Source organism: Homo sapiens, chromosome 17, assembly GCF_000001405.40.
Source record: "Homo sapiens chromosome 17, GRCh38.p14 Primary Assembly".
In the NCBI taxonomy this organism is placed as follows: Eukaryota; Metazoa; Chordata; class Mammalia; order Primates; family Hominidae; genus Homo; species Homo sapiens.
In genome coordinates this window covers 63,638,986-63,656,835 of record NC_000017.11, presented here as the reverse complement: position 1 = coordinate 63,656,835, position 17,850 = coordinate 63,638,986, and the positions used below count along the sequence as shown (strand labels likewise).

Here is a 17,850-nt window from a genome sequence, read left to right as displayed (position 1 = left end):
TACCCAGTCTTGGGCAGTTTTTTACAGCAGCGTGAGAACAGACTAATACACTCATACGTTCCAGTGAAATATTAAATAGAAGGTCCCTGAGGGTACAAATAAGTCTCACTCACTGCAAAAAGCAGAGCATGTTATGAATACTTGGTATTAAGAGATTCATAAGATGCAAACGTATGCCTTGCTTAGGACCTAGCAAATGTCAGATCTTATTCTTATTCTTCTTATTTTTTGGAGACAGAGTCTTACTCTGTCGCCCAGGCTGGAGTGCAGTGGCACAATCACAACTTGCTGCAATGTCCACCTCCTGGGTTCAAGTGATTCTCCTGCCTTAGCCTCCAGAGTAGCCGGGATTACAGGTGCACACCACCACTCCCCACTAATTTTTTTTTTTTTTTAGTAGAGACTGGGTTTTGCCATATTGGTCAGGTTGGTCTTGAACTCCTGACCTCAAGTAATCTGCCCACCTCAGCCTACCAAACTGGTGGGATTACAGGAGTGAGCCACCACGCCTGGTCAGATTTTATACACGTATGGTAAACACAAAATCAAGCAAAAGTCCAATTAACTTACACAGTTCCCAATTTATAATACAAGATTTTTTTTTTTGAGACAGCATCTCCCTCTGTTGCCCAGGCTGGAGTGCAGTGGCACAATCTCGGCTCACAGCAACCTCCGCCTCCTGGGCTAAAGTGATCCTCCTGCCTCAGCCTCTCAAGTAGCTGGGATTACAGGCATGAGGCACCACACCCGACTAATTTTTGTACTTTTTGTAGAGATGGGGTTTCACCATGTTGTCCAGGCTGGTCTTGAACTCCTGAGCTCAAGAGATCTGCCTGCCTCAGCCTCCCAAAGTGCTGGCATTACAGGCATGAACCATCGCGCCTCGCCAAAAACAGTACATATTTAAAATAAAATCTCAAAACTACTTATGGAATGGGAGAATGTTCTGCAAATCATATTATATTGCAAAAGAATTTCTTCCTGTGTGACATTCAAAGTGGGAATAAATAAGAATGGTTGGGAAGGGAGTTAAATAAAAAAAACCAAGTAGGCTGGGGATAGTGGCTCACACCTGTAATCCTAGGAGGCTGTGGCGGGAGGCTCACTTGAGGCCAGGAGTTTAAGACCAGCCTGGGCAAAATAGTGAGACCCCCATCTCTACAAAAATTTATTTTTAATTAGCTCAGTGTGGTGGCATGTGCTTATTGTCCCAGTTACTGGGGAAACTGAGGTGGGGGGATCACTTGAACCCAGGATGTCAAGGCTGCAGTGAGCCATGATTGCACACTGCACTCTGGCCTGCGCAACAAAGTGAAACCCTGTCTCAAACCAAAAACAAAAACAAAACTCACAGTGACATATCACTTTACACCTACTAGGATGGCTATTAAAAGAAGAAAATAACAAATGTTGGTAAGGATGGTGGAGAAACTGCAGCCCTCACTGATATGGTTTGGCTGTGTCCCCATCCAAATCCCATATTGATTTGTAGTTCCAATAATCCCCATGTGTTGTGGCAGGGACCCAGTGGGAGGTAACTGAATCACGGGGGTGGTTATCCCATGCTGCTGTTCTCCTGATAGTGAGTGAGTTCTCACGAGATCTGATGGTTTTATAGGAGGCTTTTTCTCATTTGCTTGGCCCTTCTCTCTCCTGTCGCCATGTGAAGGATGTGTTTGCTTTCCCTTCCATCATGATTGTTAAGTTTGCTAGGCCTCCCCAGCCATGCTGAACTGTGAGTCAATTAAACCTCTTTCCTTTATTTGTTTATTTAAAAATAAAATAAAATAATTTTTTTTAATCGTTTTTTGAGACAGAGTCTCAACTCTGTCTCAAATGAGCTGCAATCTCGGCTCATTGCAACCTCCGCCTCTCGGGTTCAAGTAATTCTTCTGCCTCAGGCTCCTGAGTAGCTGGGACTACAGGTGTGCACCACCATGCCCAGCTAATTTTTATATCAGCAGCAGAGACGGCGTTTCACCATGTTGGCCAGGCTGGTCTCGAACTCCTGACCTCGTGATCTGCCCGCCTCAGCCTCCCAAAGTGCTGGGATTAACAGGCGTGAGTCACTGCACCTAGCCACCTATTTCTTTTATAAATTACCCAGTCTCGGGCAGTTTTTTACAGCAGAGTGAGAATAGACTAATACACTCATAAGTTGCTAGTGGGACTGTAAAATTGTGCAACCATTATAGAAAATCTGGGCAGTTCCTCAAAAAGTTAGAGTTATCTTATGACCCAGCAATTCCACGCCTAGGTATATACCTTACAGAATTGAAAACATATGTTCATTTAAACACTTGTAAACAAATGCTCATAGCAGCACTATTTAATCACCAAAAAATGAAAACAACCCAAATGTCTATCAATAGATGAACAGATACACAAAATGTGGTATATCCATAAATGGAATATTTATTATTCAGCCATAAAATAGAATGACATACTGACAACATGCACAGATGACCGTTGAAAACATACGCTTAGTCAAAGAAGCCAGACAAAAAAGGTCACGTACTGTATGATTGCACTACACGAAATGTTCAGAATAGGTAAATCCAAAGAGACAGAAAGATAAGTGCTTACCAAGAGCTGAGAAGAGGAGAGAAAGGGGAATAACTGCTAATAGGTACAGGTTTCTCTTTGGAGTGATAAAAATGTTCTGGAGGCCAAGTGCGGTGGCTCATGCCTGTAATCCCAGCACTTTGGGAGGCTGAGGCAGGCAGATCGCTTGAGCTCAGGAATTTGAGACCAGCCTGGGCAACATGGTGAAACCCTGCCTCCATAAAAAATACAAAAAAATTAGCTGGGTGTGATGGTGTGTGCCTGTAGTCCCAGCTACTTGGGTGGCTGAGGTGGGGGAATCGCTTGAGCGCAGGAGGTCAAGGCTGCAGTGAGCCGTGTTTGCACCACTGCACTCCAGCATGGGCGACAGAGCAAGACTCTGTCTCAGAAAAAAAAAGAAAATGTTCTGGAATTAGATAGCGGTGTTGGTTGCACAACTCTATCAGCATACTAAAAACCACTGAATGGTATACTTTTAGATGATAAATTTTTTAATCTCAATAAAACTATAATTACAAAGAGATAAATAAATAAAATCTCAGTAGATTTTTCATTTGGGATTCTTAGATCTTGACAGTGCAGGGTTTAAAGGGCAAACAAAAGAACGGAATTGAGGGATTTTAAATTAATCAAATGTAAGTTAGTCAACTCCTGATCATTAACATTAGTAGAGTATGTTAAGACATGTATGAACTAAAATAATAACAATGATTTATATTTGGCTTTAGAATAAAGAAACATCAGGAATTCTTAATGGAAATATTAACTGAAAAAGAAAAGAGTACTAAATGATTCAGAAAAGTCTTTACTAAAAGAAAAATTTTAACTCCTCATCAAATAAAATAAAACTACACAGTGATGATCTGGTTCTCAAAGGGTCATGATGTTGCCCAGCTTTCTTGTCTTGCACCCCTAACTCAATTTCCTCGAGGTACACATTCTTTACTCAGCATAAATACACTGCAAAGCACCAGCCTAAGCTGATTGTAGTCTGTAATATTCTTCTTGGAGCTGGGAAAGCAGCCCAGAAACTGACATTCAAAAGAATTCCTTCCTGGGTGATATTCAAAGTAGAAGTAAATAAGGACCGTTGGGGTGGAGTGAGGAGGAGGAGGAGTTAAAGAACTTATTGGAGCAGGTGCTAACATTTGAAACAAATAAGCTCCAATCAGAAGAAACTCTAAGAGAAGAATCCTGCATTTATGACTGTAATAGATGACCTACTCACTGGTTTTTCACACCTCCCTAGCCCCTGCTAAACCCTCTGCTTCTTGTTAAGGCTGTGCTGGGGGGAAAAAAATAAGATACTCCTACAAAATGTAAAGGAGACAGTATAAGCCCTAGCCCTGGTACCATACCTGATTCCACCATGGAATATTAGAGCTATCTGCACTGAATGAGTAGGGGGAATGGAGATGGCTGAGATGGCTGAGTAATCTCCCATGTAGTAAAAAACAGAGATCCCACAGTTGTTGGAATTAAGAAAAGGGGGTCTAGAAAATGAAAACCTGCAGATGATATTAGAGGAACAAACTTTAAAGGCTCTGGTAAACAGAGAGAAAAAAGGTAGGCATCTGCCCCTCTTGTCCCTGCCCCATCCATCTGCCTTCTCACCTCATTGTTCATGTAATGTAGATCAAGAGGTTGTCCAAATACTGTTGTCACCTTGTGCTCCACATCTTCATATTTCACAGGCCGGCTGAACGCTATAATTCTGAAAAGAAACAGAAAGAAAGGTTGGTTAATTGTATACTTAAAACGTAGGGTTTAAAAAGCAATGGTCTGAGTATATTCTTCCTTTCTTCTCAACATAGGATTCTGTTTTCTTTCACTCAATTTGCCTTTTCCCGATTGTTTCCTTTTTTCCTCTTCTCTACCGTTACCTTTCACCCTCTGAGCATCTATCAGGTTTGACAACAGTACCCACAACTATTGCTCAATCCCAACCATTCATCTACCACTTCAGCTTAGACTCTTCTGCCAATGACAGAAGAGGCCACTAGATTTAAAAACTATGTTCCAACGATGAGAACACACAGACACATGGAGGGGGAACAATACACACTGGGGCTGTTGGGACTTGGGGAAGAGAGAGTATCAGGAAGAATAGCTAATGCATACTGGGCTTAATATATAGGTGATGGATTAATCTGTGCAGCAAACCACCATGGCACATGTTTAACTATGTAACAAACCTGCACATCCTACACATGTACCCCAGAACTTAAATAAAAGTTGAAAGAAAAAAATTATTTAGGAAATAAGGTAGAAAACGTACAGACTGGAGTAGCAGTCCTGAAAACATGGCCTCAACTCCTAAGGGACTCAACTCTAGGACTTGAAAGGTCTTTTCCATCGTTCATCTTTGAGATGCCATAAGAATCTCCATACTGATTTTCCTCAGAATTAAGATTTTCTACTACAGAGTCACAGGAATTCCCCCTTGAGTTAGTGATATGCCTGATCAGTTTTCTTAACCAGTGACATATCTGTGCATGTAACTAGTATTGACATTGAAGATTTTCTGGAGAGACTCATTAGGTCAGTTCAAAGAACAATTTCTACAAATATAAGGTAGAGTAAGGAGTCATCCAAAGAGGTGTAAAATCTGATTTGTTATTAAATACTTCAGCAAAATTTAAAAGTGGGAATTGATAAAACAAGACTGGGAAAATGTTAGTAATGTTGAAGCTGGGTGACAGGTCCATGGGAGTTCAGTTTAATACTCTGTCTACTTTTGTGTGTGCTTGAAATTTCCATAATAAAAAGTTGTGGGGTTTTTTTGTTTGTTTGTTTCAAAACAGAGTCTCGTTCTGTCACCTAGGCTGGAGTGCAGTGGCAATGATAACGGCTCACTGCAGCTTCAACCTCTGGGGCTCACGCAATCCTCCTGCCTCAGCTTCCCAAGTAGCTGGGACTACTGGCATGCACCGACTAATTTTTTATTTTTTGTAGGGATGGGCCTCAATAAGTTGCCCAGGCTGATCTCAAACCTCTGAACTCTGGCAATCCTCCCACGTCGGCCTTCCAAAGTGCTGGTATTATAGGTGTAAGCCACCATGCTTGGCCAATAAAAAGTTTGAATGAATGTATTAGGTTGAACTATATGAGACTACTGATGGCCGACCATTTTTGATATATAAAAGTGGCAATTTTATATGGGTTCAACCCAATACTCTAGAACAGAAATGACTAAAAATAATCAGAGATAACTGAAGAAAAGAATATAAGAAAGAAACTCATACACACACATACTCTCAAATTTATATAAGAAAATACAGAATTAAAAAAAAATCTTGGGGGCCAAGCACTTTGGGAGGCCAAGGTAGGAGGCTCGCTTGAGGCTAGGAGCTCAAGATCAGCCTGGGCAAGATAGTGAGCCCTCCTGCCTACTAAACATTTTTTTAAAAAATTAGCCAGGTGTGATAGTACATGCTTATAGTCTAAGCTACTTGGGAGGCTGAGGTGGGAGGATCACTTGAGCCCAGGAGATCAGGGCTGTAGTGAGCTGTGATCATGCCACTATACTCCAGCCTAGGCAACAGAATGAGACCCTGTCTAAAAAAAAAAAAAACTCTCTCTCTCTCTCTCTCTCTCTCTCTCTCTCTCTCTATAAGAGACAGAGAGAGAGAAGGTCTTCCTAACCATAACATAAAATACAGAAGACAAGCCAGGCAAGATGGCTCATGCCTGTAATCCCAGCGCTTTGGGAGGCTGCGGTGGGTGGATCACCTGAGGTCCGGAGTTCAAGACTAGCCTGGCCAACATGGGAAAACCCCATCTCTACTAAAAATTTAAAAATTACCTGGGTGTGGTGGCACATGCCCTGCAATCCCAGCTACTTGGGAGGCTGAAGCAGGAGAATCACTTGAACCCAGGAGGCAGAGGTTGCAGTGAGCTGAGATCACACCACTGCACTCCAGCCTGGGCAACAGAGCAAGAGACTCTGTCTCAAAAAAATAAATAAATAAACTTCTGATTGCAAAATAAGCCATCAACAAAGTTAAACAAATATCAAACTTTGAGAAAATACTTGTAAAAAATCAATAAAAGACAATCTAATAGAAAAGGCAAAAGATTAGACAATTCACAGAAGAATTGTAAGTGGCTAATAAAACACATGAAAAGATGCCCAATGTGACTGGAGAAATGCCTATTAAAACAACCTTCATCTCTTAGTACACCTAAGCAGGATAAAATCAGACTAGTGTGTGTTGGAGCAAGCAGTATTCAGCCATGGGCCTGCGCAGTTCTTGTCCTCTTCCATGCTGAGAGGAAGAAGTGTGTGGTTCTTTCTCATCTTCCCTGCTCCCCCAGAGTGGGAAGTGGTGTAACCAGAGGAAGAAGCAATAAGCCACAAGAGAGAGGGATCTAAACCATTGGGTTTTAATAAAATCTGACCAGATAATTTCTTTAATGTTCTTCTGTAACAGGTTGGCTCAAATCAGTGAGAAGCATAAAAGCCTTCATCATCTAGAACTGCATCTGCACTATTCAATATGGCAGCCATTAGCCACATATGACTATTTAAATTTAAATTGATTAAACTGAAAATTGGTTCCTGAACAGGTACAGTGGCTCACACCTATAATCCCAGAACTCTGGAAGGCCAAGGCAGGTGGATAGCTTGAGTCCAGGAGTTTGAAACCAGCCTGGGCAAAATGGCAAACCCTGTCTCTACAAAAATTACCTGGCTATGGCAGTGTGCCTGTTGTCCCAGGCACCTGGGAGGTTGAGGCAGGAGGACTGCTTGAGCCTGGGAGGTGGAGGCTCCACGATCACACCACTGTACTCCAGCCTGAGCAACAGAGATCCTGTCTACTTTTTTTTTTTTTTTTTGAGATGGAGTCTCGCTCTGTCGCCTAGGCTGAAGTGGCACGATCTCGGCTCACTGCAAGCTCCACCTCCCAGGTTCATGCCATTCTCCTGCCTCAGCCTCCCGAGTAGCTGGGACTACAGGTGTGCACCACCACACCCAGCTAATTTTTATATTTTTAGTAGAGACAGGGTTTCACCATGTTGGCCAGGCTGGTCTGGAACTCCTGACCTCAGGTAATCTTCCTGCCTCAGCCTCCCAAAGTGCTGGGATTACAGGCGTGAGCCTCTGTACCTGGCCCAGAGACCCTGTCTTAAAAGAAAAAGGTTCCTCTGTCTCACCAACCACATTTCAAGTGCTCATTAGCCACATGTACAGCAGCCATATGTGTACTGGACAGCACAGATATAGAACATTTCCATTATAGCAGAAAGTTCTACAGGGCAACATTGATAGACTATTAATATAAACCATAATCTATCCTTCACGCAAAGCCTAACATCTCAAGAAGGTAATTCCTTCCTGTTTTTTTCCTTTGTCCATCACCACCTTTCATTTTTGGAAATTATACTGCTAACCAAATTAGTTTCATCTCCACTAGGAAACCCATTGAGACTGTAATTCTTTTTTCTGTGTGTGTGTGATGGAGTCTCGCTCTGTCCCCCAGGCTGGAGTGCAGTGGCTCGAACTCGGCTCACTGCAACTTCCACCTCCCAGGTTCAAGCGATTCTCCTGCCTTAGCCTCCCGAGTAGCTGGGACTACAGACGCCGGCCACCACGCCCGGCTAATTTTTGTATTTTTAGTAGAGACGGGGTTTCACCATATTGGTCTCGAACTCCTGACCTTTTTATCTGCCCGCCTCAGCCTCCCAAAGTGCTGGGATTACAGGCGTGAGCCACCACACCCGGCCCAGACTGTAATTCTTATATTTTTTTCTTCCAAATCAACTGTCCCAAGCAGTGATACTGTTAGGTGCTATCTAGATGGATTCTCTAGATAGAGGTGTTTCTGAAGCCTTTTGAGAGGATAGCTTTCTATTAATGCCTAATAGCAAATCATACCCCTCCTTCTTCAAGGCCTCAGCAACAGTGCAAAAGGGTCCAGCCTTTCTGGATAAAATACCAGAAGTCCACTCAGATGTCCCTAGCACACTATTGAAAAAGGATCATGATCAGAGATAAATTCTTCTGCATTTGGCCTAGCAATGAGCCATTCAAAACCCACAAAAGCAGCTTGAAAGTCTGGTCAAGATCAGAGGCCAGGACTTCCAGATTGGGTAAGATCTAAGCTGCTGCCATCCTATTGAATAACAGGCATTTTTAGGCCAGTGCTTCAAAGAGAGGTCTAACACCCATGCAACCACCCCCATCAGTGTGTCATTAACATTTCCAAAGGGAAGGAGATCTTAATCTACAATCCTTCTCCCCAGCCCTCCTGGGGCCAAAAGGGAGGACAGTCAGGGGTCTGGTCCCCATATTCTCAAAGTAAAGGGAAAGTCAGCCCACCAGAATGAATACCTGTCATGGATAAGTGGGAAAAGTCATGACTTCTTTCCTCTTTCCTGTGAATTCTAATTCTATAAGGGCCTACATTTAGATAAATACTACCCATATTCCAGGTAAAAAGTTTAAAATGCCCATAATGACATTCTCTACAAAATCCTGACGTGAAATACACGAAACTAGAGCTGTGTGGCACAGAGTACTAACTCTGTTGGCTTCCCTGCACCAACTTTATAAAGTCCTCAATTCCACATATAGTACACAAACACTGAAATGCCATGGCTCCTGAAAACAGCTCCGTAAAAAGAGAATGCACCATTTTCAAAACCTTGATAAGCAACGTTCTGCTGCTCAGGGCTTCAGAAGGCCATTCCTGCCTGACCACCTTAAATATTTGTGGTTTCAATCTGGCAGCTTCTCTGAAACCAAACACATACACTTTCTCAGTGTAAGCCTGCTCACTGTAACTGCATACCACTTTGGGAACAGGGAATTCAGGAGAGCCTAACTGCGTAATTGGGCTCCAACACAATTGTGCTTTTGATTGAAAACTCTGCTGCTCTGAGTTTGGCCATCCCTTTAAAACTCAGGTTGGAAAATGTGAAAAGTAGCAACAGTGAAGTGACAATTTAACTTCTCTGCTAATGGCAGGACACAGGAAGAGCAGCTGGGGACAGAGCTCAGACCTTCCTCCCTCCAGGCCTGGAACTCACATAGGAGCAGAAGGACCCTGGCTCTGCAGACCACACTTTCCACAATGCTTCCACCGGGTTGCCTCTGACAACCTTGTAGGCTTGTGAATGTGTATTTTAAAGGGAGAATAGTAGCCACAGGTCTCCTCTGGAGCCAGCTGCAAAGTAGGCTGAAAGGTACCAACTGTAGAGAACTACCAGAATCAAGAATGTTTAGAGGTACTAAGGTCCTGTGGTGAGACTCTTAAAGTAGGAAGACCTCATACTAATGGGTATGCTCTTCACCTGTCCAAATGCTCAAAGCAAAGGAAAGCTGAGGGTGGCAGGGGGTAGTATATCAATGGGAAAGAAAGGCAAAGAGTGGAAAAAACACCGAAAGGCACATTTATGTGTACATGTGCCGCACATGCACAAACATGCAAGGTCCCAAATATCCCATGTCCAGAGTTCTGTATGCTTTCTGAATGTTTTCCTTAAATAACTTCAGAAATTAAGTACAGTCACATTTTTTCTACTGAGAACTTCTACCTTGGCTTCCCACAAAAAATAACAATAATGAAAATACTGACAATGGAGAAAAGGACAGAAGAGTTTTGTAACACTACTTTCACTTCCCTAATGAGGTAAGATTCAGAACACAGACCGAAAAACTCCCTCTTTCTATGTCCTCAAAGGAGCTAAAGTCTTTTACAACTGATGGACTTGGTGCAGCTTCCCATGACCTAGAGACATCATGAAGAAACTTCTAATTCACCAACCTGACCCTTGATGTGGACAAAGCCAGGGCTGCTCTACTGGGAATAGTAATGGCACCATATCACAGGAGAATCCTGCCCTCCCTCTAATGCCCACAGGTGACACAGTGTCAGTGTGTCTGAAAGCCATGACTCTGAGTAGGGCCAGAGTCCTCACTTCCTAATAAAATGTCAGACCTCACAGCAGCAGAATAGAGCAGAACAGTAAAACATCAGCAGTTGAAATGGCTTCCAATGCTAAGATAGGAACAAGGTTCAATTAGTAGGCCAAGACAAGGGTGAAACTTTCCTCCCTTTATGCCCAATCCACCCTATTACCCAGCCAGTGGCCCCACAGGGATCAGGACAGGGGAATGACTTCCATGAACTCAATGCTATCTGAGAACTTTGGCATACATGAACACAGCTACTCATCAGAAGGCAGACTTACCGCCTCTCCCCGTTGTGCTCGAACTTGATTCTGACGTCACTCTGCCAAAAAGAATGATAGACAGGTTAGAGAATTCTCTGGAATGTGTCACTCCTGCCATTGCCAAGTAAGCCTTGGGCAGTTCGTTAGCAACATTAGGCATACATCCCTGATGGCTCCTGGTCCAGCTTCTCTTCCCAGATGGGCATGGGCATTCCTTTCCAATGAGTTAAAACTTCCAGTTCTAACATCAGGGACAACAAAGCTCTTAGGGTAAGATCCCTAGGTGGCTGCCCAGCTCAGTTGCTATGCTGTGACATGCTGTTTCTAGCTTCATACACACCCTATTTCTACAATTGGCTCTGGAAGTTTCTCCCACTCTATCACCTCCTGACCAGGATACATTTCCTTGTTGGCTGATGTGACTGAAGACAAAAAAGAAATTTTGCTGCTGATGCTTTCTAGCTATATGACCACAGGCAAGTTACTTATCCTCTGTGAGTCTTAGTTTTTCCATCTGTAGAGTAAGCCTAAACATACCTTGCAGAGTTCTTACAACAACTAAATGTAAGTAAAATACCTGACACATAATAGACATGCAATATTTGGTTTTTGCTGCTGCTGCCACTGGTACCACTATCATTGATTTCCCAAAACCCTCCCAAAGCTACCCCACTGGGGGTAAAGTAGGATCTTATACACTGTTCCCAGCCTTTTCCAAAATGACCATCATGAGTAGCCTGTAAACTGCAGGAGAGCAGAGATCAGGTCTATCATGTTTCTTTTTTTTTTTGAGACGGAGTGTCACTCTGTCACCCAGGTTGGAGTGCAGTAGCACAATATCGGCTCACCGCAACCTCCGTCTCCCGGGTTCAAACGATTCTCTTGCCTCGGCCTCCCGAGGTCTATCATGTTTCTATATCCCCAGTGCCAGGCAAAGGAAATGGCATATAATATTTGTGCTTAATAATATTTGTTAAGTGGTTGAATGAATTGAAGAACAGAAGTATAAATATGAGAAATAAGAGGAAGTAGAAATGTTAAAATGACAAAGAACAAATTAAAGAGGAAGAGATATTGCAAAAGGGCAAACAAACAACTTGAGGGAGTTTAAAAAATGACAGGGAAAGGAGAGAGATATTACAGAAGAACAGGTGTAGAGGAAAAGAAAGGTAAGATGGGCAGGAAACCAGCAAATAATAGAGATAAAGGAGAGAATGAAGTCATAGTCGATGAAGAAAAATTATTTTGAAGAAGACAAATTAATAGGCTGTGGCTTGGAAGAAAGAGGACTTAAGAGTATTTGAAGATGAGGAACACATAGCAAACAGACAACAGAAAAGGGAGTGAGTTTGAAAGGAAGGGTAGATGCCTAAAGGACTCCCTTTTCCCAAGGTATTAAGGGACTAGACTTCTCTTCCAGTTCAATGAATTACAAGAGTGGTTCTAATTTACACTGTAAAAATTATTAAAGACCCCAAAGAGCTTTTGCTTATGTGGATTATATCTATTGGTATTTACCATATTCAAAATTAAAACTGAGAAAATTTACTTTATTCATTTAAAATGGCAATTAAAGGCCAGAGGCACAGTGGCTCACAACTGTAATCCCAGCCCCTTGGGAGGCCGAGGCGGGCAGATCACTGGAGGTCAGGAGTTTGAGACCAGCCTGGCCAACATGGTGAAACCTCATCTCTACTTAAAATACAAAAAGTGTGCCGTGAGTAATGGCGCACACCTGTAATCCCAGCTACTCGGGAGGCTGAGGCAGGAGAATCGCTTGAACCTAGGAGGCAGAGGTTGCAGTGAGCTGAGACAATGCTGTTGCACTCCAGTCTGGGTGACAGAGTGAGACCCTGTCTCAAAAAATATACAGCCCTGATATAGCCTTCTTATCCTGTAAGATAACACATGGACCACTTTATCCATTAATAATAATGATAATAGCTAACGTTTATTGAGCATTTACCACAAACCAAGCATTGTTCTAAGCATGTTTACATATATTAATTAAACTGATCCTCAAAACAAGTACCATTATTATCCCTATTTTACAGAAAATAACTGAGTTACAATAAGATTAAGTAAGTTCCCCCAAGGTCAGGTCATATCGCTTGTAAAGGAAGAGGTAGGATTTGAACCCTGGAAGCCTGACTCTTAACTACCATGCTATGCTACAACTTAAGTGTCACACAGGCACTGAGAGCAGTTTTTCACTATCTTCTTTTTCTCGTTCCCCTGAAATTCTAAACAGTTACCATGACAAGAGTCCTCTAAAGCAGAGTTGCCATGCTCTGATGTGTGGTCTCCAGCTTCCCACACTATTTCCTCAACTGGATCTGGAGTATCCCAAGTGCTCTATGAAGTTTGTAGTCCTGTCTGCCCCTGTGGGAGGGTTATACATCCTTTTACCTGTTCCTGCCTACAGCCCAGCATACCTTGCTGTAGCTCTATTATTTTAATTAATAAATTTTATTTTTAGAAGAGTTTTACATTTACAGAAAAACTGAGCATACAGAGCAGAGTTCTGATATATCCTTCTCCCCTTTGTACAGTTTCCCCTATTATTATTATTGTTATTATTGAGACAGGGTCTTACTCCTGCCACCCAAGCTGGAGTGCAGTGGTACGATCACGGCTCACTGCAGCCTTGACTTCCCGGGCACAGGTGATTGATTCTCCTACCTCAGCCTCCCATGTAGCTGGGACTACAAACAGGCACATGTCGCCACACTGGGCTAATTTGTAACTTTTTGTAGAGATGGGGTCTTGCCATGTTGCCCAGCTAGTCTCAAACTCCTGGGCTCAAGCAATCTGTCCACCTCAGCCTCCCAAAGTGCTGGGATTACAGGCATGAGCCACCACACCCAGCCAGTTTCCCCTATTATTAATATCTTACATTAGTATGGTATATTTCTTTTTGTTACAATTAATTAATCAATATTGATATATCAACTAAAGTCCATAGTTTACTCACATATTTCCTCAGGTTTTTGTTTTTGTTTAATTTTTTTTTTTTTTCATTTTTAGAAGTTTTAGGCCAGGTGTGGTAGCTCACGCTTCTAACCCCAACACTTTGGGAAGCCGAGGTTTGAGGATTGCTTGAGCCCAGGAGTTTGAGATCAGTCTGGGCGACATGGCAAAACGCCATCTCTACAAAAAATACAAAAATTAGCTGGTTGTGGTGGCACACGCCTGTAGTCTTAGCTACTTGGAAAGCTGAGGCAAGAGGATTGCTTGAGCCCGGGGGGCTTGAGGTTGCAGTGAGCCATGATCACGCCACTGGACTCCAGCCTGGGTGATAGAACAAGGATTCTGTCTCAAAAATATATTGAAACAAAACAAAACAAAACAAAAAAACGAGGTTAAAAACACACACACACATAACAGCTTTCATTCTTAAACTGGGACAACATTTTATTTATTTTTTTATTTTTTGAGACAGAGTCTCACTCTGTTGCCCAGGCTGGAGTGCAGTGGCGCGATCTCGGCTCACTGCAGCCTCTGTCTCCTGGGTTCAAGTGATTCTCCTGCCTCAGCCTCCCAAGTAGCTGGGATTACAGGCATGCACCACCATGCCTGAATGATTTTTGTATTTTTAGTAGAGACAAGGTTTCACCCCTGGCCAGGTTGGTCTTGAACTCTTGACCTCAAGTGATCCACCCGCCTTGGCCTCCCAAAGTGCTTGGACTACAGGTGTGAGCCACTGCCCCAGCCCTGGGACAACATTATATTTAGATATACTAATGAAGGAATCTCCTCAGTGCCTTTATGGAAATGAAGGAACTAAATTTATTTCATAACGAGCCATAACCTAAGCACTGCTCTACATGAATTTATTCAGAAAGGGAATTAAACTTTTGTTCCAAACCACAAATCACTGCTACTTAAGACTAACCAAGCCTGTGACTAAAAAGCAGTGTAAACAAAGATGCTTCTTTGATGCCATGACAGCCTTACAAGCTTCCATGAACCACATGATATGCCCAAATCTTCTGAGTCCCTAAATCTGAATTTCACCCATCAGGTTGACCATAATAAGCCATAGATAAGGGAAGTTCAGATAAAGATAATTTGATTCAATGCCTTCCGGCCAGCCATTCTTCTTGTCCTCTCTGAGGCATTTCACACTGGTGGGTGGCCAACTCTATTTCCAACTTCTGTGACTCTATCCCAGCACAGGGAACCTGCTACCACTCTGACCACTTCTGCTTCTTTGCTGGTTCCTCTTGTTCATGCCCTCTCCCACCCCTCCCCAAACACATGACCATTCCTCAACCTTGCGACTTCTGACTTCTGGCTTTCTCCTGCTCTGCATACAACTTCTCAGTGGGCCTCTAAATAGATGATTCCTCAATCTCTATATGTAGCCCCAATCACTGAAGCAAGGCTCATCTGCTTGCCACGTATCTGAGGCCAATATGTAGTTGTTAAGAATGTAGCACTGGAGTCCAACTGCCTGCTTCAAATCTTGGCTCTACAACTTCCTAGCTGTGTAACCTCGAACTTAGGTTGGTGCAAAAGTAATTGCAGTTTTTGCCATTAAACCTAACTGCACTAGGCTGGGCGTGGTGGCCTTGTAATCCCAGCACTTTGGGAGGTCAAGGAGGGCAGATCACGAGGTCAGGAGTTCGAGACCAGCCTGGCCAACATGGTGAAACCCCGTCTCTACTAAACATACAAAAATTAGCCGGGTGTGGTGGCGGGCACCTGTAATCCCAGCTATTCGGGAGGCTGAGGCAGGAGAATTGCTTGAACCCAGGAAGTGGAGGTTGCAGCAAGCCGAGATCACGCCACTGCACTCCAGCCTGGGTGACAGAACAAGACTCCATCTCAGGAAAAAAAAAAAAAAAGTAATGGCACTGCAGCCTCATACTTAACCTATAACTTAGTTTCCTCATCTGTAAAGTGAGAATGATAGTATCCAATTTACGGAATTATCAAAAGAATTAAATCATATAATTGGGTAAAGTGATTAGAACAGTACCTGATATACAAGTGGTTGGTAAATGGTAATACAGGTCTATTATCCTTTAGCCAAAATTCTTGGGGCCAAAAGTGTTTCAGAATGCATGTTTTGGATTTAGAGGGGTAGTATGGTAGATGTTCTATAAATCATGTGATGCCTCCCCAGGCAGTGGAGTGGGGGGTGTCTGAGACAGTACTACTGTGGTAGAGGCAGAATGCTCAAGTATTTCCTGGACCTCTTAAAAGTTAGTTTGGGGGGTTTGTCCCTAGTTCTGACCAAGAGCTAGGAACAGAATCAAGTTCTATACTCTCTTCCCTGGCAGGCACATGTCCTAGGACAGAGGAGTCTCCCTCAATCCAGGTTCCTAAGTAACTCTGGGCAACACTGTTCTCCCCCTCCTTGTACTGGGAATACTGTGTTAAATCACTGAGATTTGGAGTCTATTTGTTAACAGAGTACATGCTTTTTATCGAAGCTATCCTAATTTTTGCAATGAAAAGTATGAATATTCACAATAAGTAGAATAAAGAAAGACCATAAATTGCCCTGTGTCTATTCAGGACAGGTCTGGTTGCCAAATGAGTCTGCTACAAATTAAAAAATAATAAATAGAAACTAAAAACTAAAAATACCCCTTTAGTTTGTAGTACTGTTTGGATCTCAGAACTGCAGATAACAGATTATGGACCTGCAAAAATCAACGTACACACATACACATACCTCACACACTCTTGAGGTTTTTTCCCACTGTAATCTCAAACTCAATCTAGCCATATGTGTCTATATCAACTACTCTCCTAAACTAGTCTCCCTTCTCAACTATTACTTTCTTTTCAGAGATGGGGTCTCGCTATGTTGCCCAGGCTGGAGTGCAGTAGCTATTCACAGGCACAATCACTGTGCGCTACAGATTTGAGCTCCTGGGTTCAAGTGATCCTCCTGCCTCAGCCTCCCAAGCAGCTTGGACTACAGGCGCATGTCACCATGCCTGGCTCAGTGTCACTATTTCTAACATTGGTACTGCTGTGCTCCCAGCTACACAGTTACATCTCTGAGTAATGCTTGATTCTTTCCTTCCTTTTCCTCCTCACAGCCAGGGAGCAAATTTCAATTCTCCTCTCAAAGACCTCCGGTATAAGACTCTGCTTCCCATTCTCCCTGACATCACCTTCAGTGAGACCCTTTCCCCTTGATCCCAGAGTCAATAAGATATAAAGCATTATATCTTTATACATTTATAAATGTATAAAGCTGAAAATAAGATATAAAGCAACACACAAGCCTGGCATTATATTTTGTAAGAAGGTTGCTTTATAATCATCTCTTCCACTGATCTCCTACAACTTTCCAGAGTCATGCTTAAAAATAAAATTTTAATTTTTGTTGTATTTTTTTTTCCTTTCATTCACTTACTCTCTTTGGCAAAATAAGGACTGCAATTCCAGAAATGTGGGGAGGCATCAAAGGTATGTAGCAAATGCAGGGAGAGAAATCAGTACAGAATCAGAGTGAGGATACATTTCAGCTCCCCATTTCCAACCCACTCTGCGTTCCTCTACAGTTCCAACCATCTCAATCACCTTTTTCACCATGTTCCTTCTTTGTTCATAAGGTAATCAGTGATACCCATTATCTATGGAATAAAGTCTAAATTCTCTGCTATCACTCAAAGCCCTCTGGGATTTAGGCTCATTCAGTTTACCTGATCATCTCACACTGTTTGTTCCCCACAGGGACCCCCCTTTAAAGCCAGATCAAAGCTCACCTTGTTTCCTGATACAAGCCATGTTTGCTTCTTCCCCTAGGCCTTTAATCATTCTGTTTCCTGACCTGGAGTGCCACCCTTCCTCCGTTCTACCTAACTGTTTATACTTCCTTCACAGCCTAGTTCAAGTGCCCTTCCACCTGAAATGACTCCATAGCTCCTCTGGCCCAGGCTCATCTTTCATTTTCCTGGCCTTCTATAGCACTTACTCTCTGTACCACACAGTGAGGCATAGTCATATCATACTTTCTTTTTTTCATGTAGTCCTCACTTCCCAGTAAGACTGCATGATTCCTGGGGTACAGGGAATATGACATACCTTTCTTTTTTCTTTTTTTTCTGAGATGGAGTCTTGCTCTGTCGCCCAGGCTGGAGT

The 17,850-nt window shown here is 42.8% G+C and overlaps 1 protein-coding gene across 9 annotated transcripts in view, besides 2 other annotated features; it reads right to left on the bottom strand.

Annotated features, from left to right (window-relative positions):
• The window catches only part of MAP3K3 (mitogen-activated protein kinase kinase kinase 3), a 73,889-nt gene that overhangs the window by 39,470 nt on the left and 16,569 nt on the right, over positions 1 to 17,850 (bottom strand). For all 9 annotated transcript variants that reach the window (NM_203351.3, XM_005257378.3, NM_001363768.2 and 6 more), the window contains 2 exons: positions 10,762 to 10,802; positions 4,180 to 4,279 (listed from right to left, as the gene is read on the bottom strand). In NM_203351.3, the coding sequence (NP_976226.1) occupies positions 4,180 to 4,279; positions 10,762 to 10,802 (141 nt within the window). The remainder of the gene's footprint in view (positions 1 to 4,179; positions 4,280 to 10,761; positions 10,803 to 17,850) is intronic.
• Positions 1,422 to 1,471: an enhancer, noted in NCBI's record as "active region_12551". NCBI's record gives its function as "activates an Ori minimal core promoter by ATAC-STARR-seq in GM12878 lymphoblastoid cells {active_cell/tissue: GM12878}" and the evidence as "EXISTENCE:reporter gene assay evidence [ECO:0000049][PMID:35858748]".
• Positions 9,744 to 9,793: an enhancer, noted in NCBI's record as "active region_12550". NCBI's record gives its function as "activates an Ori minimal core promoter by ATAC-STARR-seq in GM12878 lymphoblastoid cells {active_cell/tissue: GM12878}" and the evidence as "EXISTENCE:reporter gene assay evidence [ECO:0000049][PMID:35858748]".